Raw genomic sequence first — 10,332 nt, 5'->3', positions numbered from 1 at the left:
GTACCAGTGTATAGTGATGTGGCAAAAAGAAGGATCTGAGAACACAGTATTGATTCTTCCTGCATTTCTTGTGCCTTGTGATTACCTGTATTCTTAAAATTATTAATAAAACTTAATATTTAGTAAAATCTCTAGTTTTCTTAAATGGTGATTTGACTCTCTGCTCTTTAGTTTATCTTAGAAACTACCCAAAGATAAATAAAACCTGCAAAATAAAGCAGTGAAATCAAATTCCCTAATGGTAAGATATTAGAGATGTTCTCAAGAACAAAGACATTATTTGACTTTCTCTTTCTCTCTCTCTCTCTGTGTTTTCTTAAATATATGTAAAGAGTATTTGAGTACATAAAACTTAGAAATTTATAATTTTTAAATTTAAAAGTTAAATAAAAAGCTAGGAGCTTTGTACACAGAGACAACCTTTAATATCGATTAACTTTTAAAATGACAATTTCTTAAATGGAAAATTAAAAGAGAGAAAAACACATGCGACCAGTCACCAGGAAAAAATTGAAAAATAGATGGCACAAATACAAATTTAAGAAACATGTAACTATTTTTATCCAATAGATATTGAAGAAGTTTTTTTCCAAGCGTTGATGCCCAAAATTTTCCAGGGAAACCAGTGCGGGATCAAAGTGGCAACCCTGCAGCCAGCATCATACTAAATGGAGAAAAGCTGAAAGCAGTCCCCCTAAAAACTGGAATAAGACAAGGAGGGATGCCCAGTCTCATCACTCCTATTCAACATAGTACTGGAAGTCCTAGCCAGAACAACCAGGCAAGAATAAATAAAGGCATCCAATTGAAAAAGGGGAGGTCAGATTATCTCTGTTCACAGATGACATGATCTTATACCTAGAAAATCCTAAGGATCCCTCCAAAAGACTCCTAGACCTGATAAACAACTTCAATAGTGTTTTAGGATACAAAATTAATGCACTAAAATCAATTGCATTTTTATGCAACAACAAAGCTCAAACTAAGAACCAAATCAAGAACTCATTCCCATTTATAATAGCCACACACACACAAAATATGTAGCAATACATTTAAACAAGGAGGTGAAAGACCTCTATAAGGAGAATTAGAAAACAATGCTGAATGAAATCAGAGATGACATGAACAAATGGAAAAATATCCCATGCTTATGAATAGGAAAAATCAATATCGTTTAAATGGCCATGCTGCCTAAAGTAATCTACATGTTTAACATTATTCCTCTCAAATTACCAATATCATTTTTCACATAATTAGAAAAAACTATTCTAAAATTCATATGGAACCAAAAATGAGCCTGAATAGCCAAAGCTACCCTCAGCATAAAGATCAAAGCCAGAGGCATTACATTACATTACGTTACATTACCTGACTTCAAATTATACTGCAAGGCTAGAGTAACCAAAACAGCATGATACTGGTATGAAAAAACACATATAGATCAATGCAACAGAATAGAAAACCCAGAAATAAAGCCACACACATACAACCAACTGATCTTCAACAAAGTCAACAAAAATAAATAGTGAAAGGCCATCTTATTCAATAAATGGTGCTAGGAAAACTGGCTAGCCATATGCAGAAGAATGAAACTGGATCCCTATCTCTCACCATACACAAAAACTAAATCAAGATGGATTAAAGATTTAAATATAAGACCTCATAGTAAAAATGTTAGAAAAAAAGCTTGGAAAAACTATTTTGGACATTGGCCTAGGCAAAGAATTCATCACGAAGACCCCAAAAACAAATGCAACAAAACAAAAATAGACAAATAGGACTTAATTCAACTAAAGAGTTTCTTCAAAGCAAAAGAAATAATCAACAGAATAAACAGACAACCTACAGAGTGAGAGAAATGATCTGCAAACTAACAATCCAACAAAGGGCTAATATCTAGAATCTATAAGGAACTTAAGCAAATCAACAAGAAATAAGCAAATAGCCCCATTAAAAAGTAGGCAAAGTACATGAACAAACACATTTCAAAAGGAGACATATAAGTGGCTGAGAAACATATTAAAAAATGCTCCACATCACTGATCATCAGAGAAATGCATATCAAAACCACAATAGATACCATACACATCAGTCAGAATGGCTATTATTAAAAAGTCACAAAAGTAGCAGATGTTGGCAAGGATGCACAGAAAAGTGAACTCTTACACACTGTTGGTGGTAATTTAAATTAGTTCAACTCTTACGGAAAACAATATGAGGATTTCTCAGGTAACTAGATATAGAACTACCATTTGACCCAACAATCCGGCTACTCTCTACCCAAAGAAACAGAAATTGTTTTATCAAAGGACACATGCACTTATATATTTATTGCAGCACTGTTCATAATAGCAAAGTCATAGAATCAACTTAAATGTCCGTAAATGGTGGACTGGATAAAGCAAGTGTAATGGAATACTACGCAGCCATAAAAGAATGAACTCATGTCCTTTGCAGCAACATAGATGAAGATGGAGGCCATTATCCTAAACAAAGTAACTCAGAAACCAAAAGTCCAACTCCATATATTCTCAAGTATAAGCAATAGCTAAATAATGGGTACATACGGACATAAAGATCACACTGGGGACTCCAAAACTGGAGTAAGCAGGGCAAGGGTTAAAAAATTACTTATTGGGGCTGGACACTGTGGCTCACGCCTGTAATCCTAGCACTTTGGGAGGCCGAGGCGGGTGGATCATCTGAGATCAGGAGTTCAAGACCACCCTGGCCAACATGGTGAAACCCTGTCTCTACTAAAAACACAAAAAATTAGCCAGGCATGGTGGCATGCACCTGTAATCCCAGCTACATGGGAGGCTGAGGCAGGAGAATCGCTTGAACCCAAGAGGCGGAGGTTGCAGTGAGCCGAGACTGTGCTGCTGCGCTCTAGCCAAGGGGACAGAATGAGACTCTGTCTCAAAAGAAAAACAGAAAGTGCTTATTGGGTGCAGTGTTCACTATTTGGGTGATGGGTTTACAAAAAGCCCAAAACTCAACATTATGCAATATACCCACATAACAAACTTACACATGTACCTCTGAATCTAAAATAAAATAAAATAACAATAATAAATAAAGTGTATACAGTTTATAGGTAGTGGGCAGTTTGACATTATGTAAATACAGAGGAGCATGATTTTAAAAGTCTCCTTTGTTTTAACCAAGTATTTTCACTCCTATAAACTTAGAGTCATATTTTGAGATGTAGAGAGATTTATGCATTAAAATGTTATTAGCACATAATATAAAACATAATTGTCCAAAAATAGAAGAATTTTATGAAGTATGATAATCCATAGAGTCCATATAATCTCATAATTTAAAATTATAATCATAATAGTAATCACTATTGACTAATAATAGCCAATATTCACTGCACGTTTCTTAAATACCAGGTATCATTTTCATACACCTATTTATGTAGTGGTATATATGTCTTAGAGGTAGACTGTATTAAAAGGTGTTATTTCTGGCTTGATTATGGGAAATTTTCATTATCTCTTTTGTATTCTTGTGTTTTTAAGTTTTTCTATAGTAAACTTTTTGTTTAATGATCATGAAAGAAATATAAAAATGAAAGGAACTAGAATGTTTTCATTATATGCTGACTGACTAGGGTCTGACTGAGCCTCTCTCATAGAGAGATGCTAAATCAACCTATGAATTCTATATATTCTACTGTAGCAAAAAAAACCACAAAGCCCAACTTTTCGTTATCTCTCATTCCTTACCTTCAAGTCAAATATCACATTTTTAGAATTTAAAAATGCTTGCTGTATTTGTATTTTAAAAAGAAGGGAGTGGCTTTTGGAGCATATTTGGACTCTGGATGGTTTCCTGGTAATGAAGAGATGGTATTCTGTAAACTCGATTATTTGTCTTTCACACACTACTGAGAACTATGCTCTGTGCTGTGATATGAGGTTTGAATAAATGAGTTCTCTTAGGAAGAAAGAGGAGTGAATATTCCATCTTCTATGTTATTCTCTCAGTGTTTATTGCTCCAGACAGACTACAGAACAAATGTCCCACATTCCGTTGGTCTCCAAAGAAAGAGATCCAGCCCCAAACTGCCTAAAAAATTTACTTGAAAATCTGTTCAAGAAAAGACAAACAAGCCAACAAAGTTAAATATAGACAATAGAAAATTACAAAATTGTATCTGGCTATGTTTTCTATTCAGTTCTGATGTGCTAAATCATATTATTCAATACCATTTAAAAATATTTATAGAGTGAGTACATATTTTATCCATATTCCTTCTATCCCAGTTTTAGGCAAGAACAACCGAAGTTTTACTCCAGAAAAATAAGCTTCTAAGCTCATAAACCTAAAGGGACTTGGTCCTGTCTTCAGGGAATTTAAGTGAGCCAATTGATGGTAGAAATGAAAACAAGTTCTTCCAATGCTGTATAGCACAGTTACCTCTTTGTATGAAGGTTAGACTTGATGACTTTGAAAAGACTCTCATCTTCATGCTTCCAGGAATCTATGATTTGATAAGTCTTGGCCTTCTTTCTATCTCATTCTGTTTCCTTCCATGTGGTTTGTAATCCATTTGGAAATACTTACAGAACCAGGGTCTAAAATGGTCAGCATTGACAATAGCACCTTTTAAAAAGTAATGAAACTATGTACTAAACCAAATGATTCCTTAGTATGTCTTCTGTTAATTAAGATTTCTTTTTTTTGAACAAAGCACTTTGTAGTTTTAACTATAGCTCACTTTCATGTGATCATATTGGGTTTAATTAGTTCCAAGTGAGAACAAAGAGGACCTATCTAGGACAATCACACTGAACTTAATTTAGAATCCAAGTGCCAAAATATTGCATATTAGAAATTTTATATGTACAATTAATAGCCTGCTCAGCGACACAGCAATATATAATCTAATTCAATACAAAGCACACTCTTGGGTAATCAGACATTGGTGTTTTAAATGACTTGTTTGTTATGATGTTTCTTCACTTGCATTTTAAGTATTAATCACCAGATTTTATAAAATAAACATAGAAAAGAGGGCAACTCCTTTGGTGAAGCTACTTCAAAAGTGGGAAAGGGAGGAAAATTAGGTCATTCGGCATTCTGCCTATAATTGCATTTTTCACTACTGCCTTAATTAGAACTGTTGAATCATTTTAGTTACTGAACATTCCTTCTCAACACGATTAGTTTATATTACTATGAGCAAACTCATTATCACCTTCTTTAACTTTGCTTTAAATTTATTGGTTTAATTATCTGAATTTGCAATAGCAAATGTACAACTTCAGGGCATCTCGTTTCATATTTCAATTTTCTAAAACACACTCTTAGAATGTAGGGAGATAACTTAGATACTTTTTCTGAAATGAGTGAAGTTATGTGGCATTATTTTGCTTCAAATTATTACAAAAAGGAAGGATCACTGAAAGAAATTTTTTTGAGTTAAACATTGTTAATGATCAAGAGATGATGAATAGAAATATTTATTTGTATTTTTTCTTTATATTTGTAACACACCAAACTAGATTAGTATTTCTACTGCATTTATTATGTAGAGATGTGCACAGTTTTATGCAAATAATACAATGAAGAAAAGTGAAAAAATTGGAAAGGTTTAGACAAGAACAACTAATCAGTGGAACTCTCCTCATTATTCTGCTTTAAGGTCAACATCAATCCAGAAAAGAAAATATTGAAAAGGGAGAGGAAATAAATACAATAAAGTAATTCAAATAATGTCATTGGTCACTTTGGGGTTACTAAATCATTCCATACTCCAATTAGTTTCCTTATTCCCCTTTCTAATCAATCTACAGTTCCTACTTGGGCTACCACATCATAATTTCGCCCACCTTAGGTTATTTTGCAGCTCTTGGAATTCAGATAAATGGAATCACAGAGTATACTCAGAAGAGAAATTTTAAGTTTCAATTTCTGTTTTTTGCCTGGAAACAACTCCTCAAACTAAGGGGTTAGTCTGTGTTTCCTCAGACTGAGGGGTCAATGTGACCATGCAAAGACCAACATTAAACTTTCTGGGAGCTATGTCCGGAGATATTTTGTCAAGAATAATTATCAATGGGAAAGTCACAAATTTCCTTTCACCTGTTTAAGCAGGATCAACATGCAATAAAAACAATATCATCACCTAAATTCCCCAAGTATTTAAGTCCATAGTGAGATATGACTACAGGTTTTAAGTAATCAGGCATCTCCAAATGTCTCTAATTTCCAGTTTTACTATGGATTAATTCATTTGACACTAGAGTTCTTATATAAAATAAGATCTGTCAATGCACTTCCAAATCACATTAGACACAAGACATGCTGTTTTCCATAAATGGATACATTTGAAAATTGAGAATACAATATTTAAGAATTAATTTTTCCTAGCATTGTAAAATACACTGGATTATGTTTATTTATCAAACACTCTATTAGAAGACAAGATTCATCTGAGTCACTGAATCTTAGTGGCTCTTAGCAAACAGTCACCTTAATTTTGAGTCTGTGTTTTCTTCATTTCAGTTTTCTGAGAACCACCTTTTCCCATGGACTTTAGCCTACTGAGGAAAATAAATATATAGAAGTTATAATGTATGTAAATAAATGCTTATATGTAGGTCCCCACAGATTGCAATGGAGTTTGAGAGGATTAGGCAATAAGAATGCCCATGGGAGAAATAGTGGTTATACACACAGAAGACAACATGTGATCTAACTCTTGTTACAAGATTTTAAATGTGCAGAAAAGCTAGAAGGATTTTCTAAGAAGAGGAAATAACATGGAAACAAGTCCTGTTCACCAAAGAACATAACTTTTTATAAGGCTATTGCAGGATATAATTTAGAAATGATGAAAAATGCAGCTGGAGTAGTTGGTAGGGATGAGTGTGGGGTCTTGTATGTTACACTGAGCAAAGCGACTTAATTCTTTGAAGTTTTTTTTCAAACAAGATAGTAGAATCATCATAGTAACATTTCAAAAGGTTGATGTATTCTCTTTTGCTGCCTGATATGATCTGGCTCTTTGTCCCTACACAAATCTCATCTTGAATTGTAATTCAAATTGTAATCCCCACATGTTAGGTGAGGGACCTCAAAGGAGAAGATTGGATCATGGAGGTGGTTCTCCCATGCTATTCTTATGATAGTGAGTGAGTTCTCACAAGATCTGATGGTTTTGTAAGGGGCTTTTCCCCAATTTGCTCTGCACTTCTCTCTCCTGCCACCATGTGAAGAAGAACATATTTGCTTCTCCTTCCACCATGATTGTAAATTTTCTGAGGCCTCCCCAGCCATATGAAACTGTGAGTCAATTTAACCTCTTTTCTTTATAAATAACCCAGTCTCAGGTACTTCTTCAAAGCAGTGTGAGAACAGACTAATACACTGCCCTAACAAATTACCACAAATTCAGTGGTTTGGGCCACACAGATTAATTTTTAAAATTTTGTTTAATTTTATTTTATTTTAAGTTCCAGGATACATGTGCAGGACATGCAGGTTTGTTACATAGGTAAATGTGTGACATGGTGGTTTGCTGCGCCTATCAACCCATCGCCTAGGTATTAAATCCCACATGGATTGGCTATTTATTCTAACCTCTCCCTCTCTCAGCACTTCCCACCCTGACAGGCCCCAGTATGTGTTGTTCATTCCTTCTTTATTAAGGGGTACTGAGAGAACTGACTAGCCATATGCAAAAAAAAAAAAAAAAAAAAAATTGACACCGGACTCCTCCCTTACACTTTATACAAAAATTAACTCAAGATGGATTAAAGACTTAGATGTAAAACCCAAAACTATAAAAATCTTAGAAGAAAGAAAATCTAGGCAATACCATTCAGGACATAGACATGCAAAAAGATTTCATGACAAAAACATCCAAAGCAACTGCAACAAAAGCAAACATTGACAAATGAGATCTAAGTAAACTAAAGAGCTTCTGCACAGCAAAGAAACTATCATCAGAGTGAAGAGACAACCTACAGAATGGAAGGAAATTTTTGCAATCTATCCATTTGACAAAGGTCTAATATCCAGAATCTACAAGGAACTTAAACAAATTTATAAGAAAAAGTCCCAAAATCCCATTAAAAAGTGGGCAAAGGACATGAAGAGACATTTCTGAAAAGAAGACATTTATGTAGCCAACAAACATGAAAAAAGCTCAATATCACTGAGAAATGCAAATCAAAATCACATTGAGATAACTTCTCATGCCAGTCAGAATGGCAGTTATCAAAAAGTCAAGAAACAACAGATGCCAGTGAAGCTAAGCATCTAGGAATACTTTTACACTGTTGGTGGGAATGTAGTTAGTTCAACCATTGTGGAAGACAGTGTGCTGATTCCTCAAAGACCTAGAGGAAGAAATACCATTTGACCCAGCAATCTCATTACTGTGTATATACCCAAAGGAATATAAATCATTCTATTATAAAGATACATGTATGTGTATGTTCATTGCAGCAGCATTCACAATAGCAAAGACATGGAATCAACCCAAATGCCCATCAATGACAGACTGGATAAAAAAAATGTGGTACATATACACCATGGAATACCAAGCAGCCATAAAAAGTAATGCAATCATGTCCTTTGCAGGGACATAGATGGAGTTGGAAGCAATTATCCTCAGCAACCTAATGCAGGAACAGAAAAACAAACACTGCATGTTCTCACTTTTAAGTGGGAGCTGAACAATAGTCCATTCTCATGCTGCTGTGAAGAAATAGTTGAGACTGGGTAATTTATAAAGAAAAGAGGTTTAATTAATTCACAGTTCTGCATGGCTTGGGAGGGCTCAGGAAACTTACAATCATGGCAGAAGGCAACTCTTCACAGGGCAGCAGGAGAGAGAATGAATGCCAGCTAAGGAAATGCCAGACACTTATAAAACCATCAGATCTCATGATACTCACTCATGATCATGAGAACAGCACTGGGGAAACTGCCCCCATGATTCAATTACCTACATCAGGTCCTGCCCTTGACATGTGGGGATTACAATTCAAGAAGAGATTTTGAGTGGGGACACAGTCAAACCATATCAGGTAAATAAGCAGTAGTTTTACTAATTTATAAGCAAATGGCACAGTAGTTTTACTAATTTAATGAGCAAATGGCACATCAATAAGCAGTTGATGTGTGCTTTTCAATGTGCATGATTTTGATTTGAGGTAGGCTGAGCATGTTATCCTAACAGTTCATAGTGGAGGAACAGTTGCCTGACTTCCAGATTGCCTCCCAGTTCCTTCTTTCAAGCGCTCATGAGGCCTCTCTGCACTCCCTGCCCTTGGATTCCTTCAGATACTTGGATACCTACTATACCTGCTGATAAACTTCCCTTAGATAAAAGTTTGCTTGAGTGATTTTATGTTACTTAAAATGGAAAGCAACTTGACAAAGATGACATGCATGCACATATAGCTTAGTCTGTTACTTTAAAAAATTAATATTTTATATCACATTTCTCACTTGTTGTGGCTTTTGATTTATTAAAGTTGATTTCTTAGCTCCATCATTAAAATTTTATATTTTTTAGAGAAGGTGTGAGTGGCTAACACATGAAATATAGCACAGAAACTTGATAAAAACTGAAAACTGTTAATTAGATTTTTCTGTATATAAGTCATTAATGATCTTAGCTAGGAAAATTCATCTGTGTGGCTCATGCACTAGGCAGATTACTCCGAGGAAAGTTGGGGAGATAGGAATGTGGAGCCATCTTGGATAGACTTTTCTTTCAAAATGCACATCTGAGATATGAAGGACAAGGATCAGATGGTGGTTAGAGGGTGAAGCCAAGGGAGGAGAAAAAATAATTTTTCAGGAAGGGAGTGGCTAGTATATTTAAAGAATTAGTAGAAAAAATGGCAAGAAAAATGATGAGTTAAATTTATAAAATAAATTGGCATACGTATTGAGGTGTGCAACAAATACAGACAGAGCAAGAAAATAAGAAAATATGGTATAGAACTTCTGCTTATTACCAAGGTGGAGTAACAGGGACTGAATCTACCCTACCACCTGAAACAAACAAATAACAAACAAAACATATAGAACAAACAAAACATATAGAACAACAGCTTTCAAGGTACTGGACATCAAGCAATGAAATAAAATGTTCCTCGAGGGCCAGGTGCGATAGCTCACACCTGTAATCCCAGCACTTTGGGAGGCCAAGTTGGGTGTATCACTTGAGGTCAGCAGTTTGAGACCAGTGTGGGCAACATGGCGAAACCCCATCTCTACTAAAAACACAAAAAAATTTATCTGGGCGTGATGATGCATGTCTGTAATCCCAGCTATGTGGGAGGCTGAGGCATGAGAATT

At 35.0% G+C, this 10,332-nt stretch overlaps 1 annotated feature.

The window, feature by feature from the left end:
- Positions 3,695 to 3,864: an enhancer, noted in NCBI's record as "experimental_74949 CRE fragment used in MPRA reporter constructs". NCBI's record gives its function as "activates a minimal promoter by MPRAs in K562 erythroleukemia cells, with activity observed for both the introgressed and non-introgressed 4:157191728 variant alleles {active_cell/tissue: K562}" and the evidence as "EXISTENCE:reporter gene assay evidence [ECO:0000049][PMID:34662402]".

Source organism: Homo sapiens, chromosome 4 (assembly GCF_000001405.40).
Source record: "Homo sapiens chromosome 4, GRCh38.p14 Primary Assembly".
NCBI lineage: Eukaryota > Metazoa > Chordata > Mammalia > Primates > Hominidae > Homo > Homo sapiens.
This window is presented reverse-complemented; position numbering and strand designations above follow the sequence as displayed.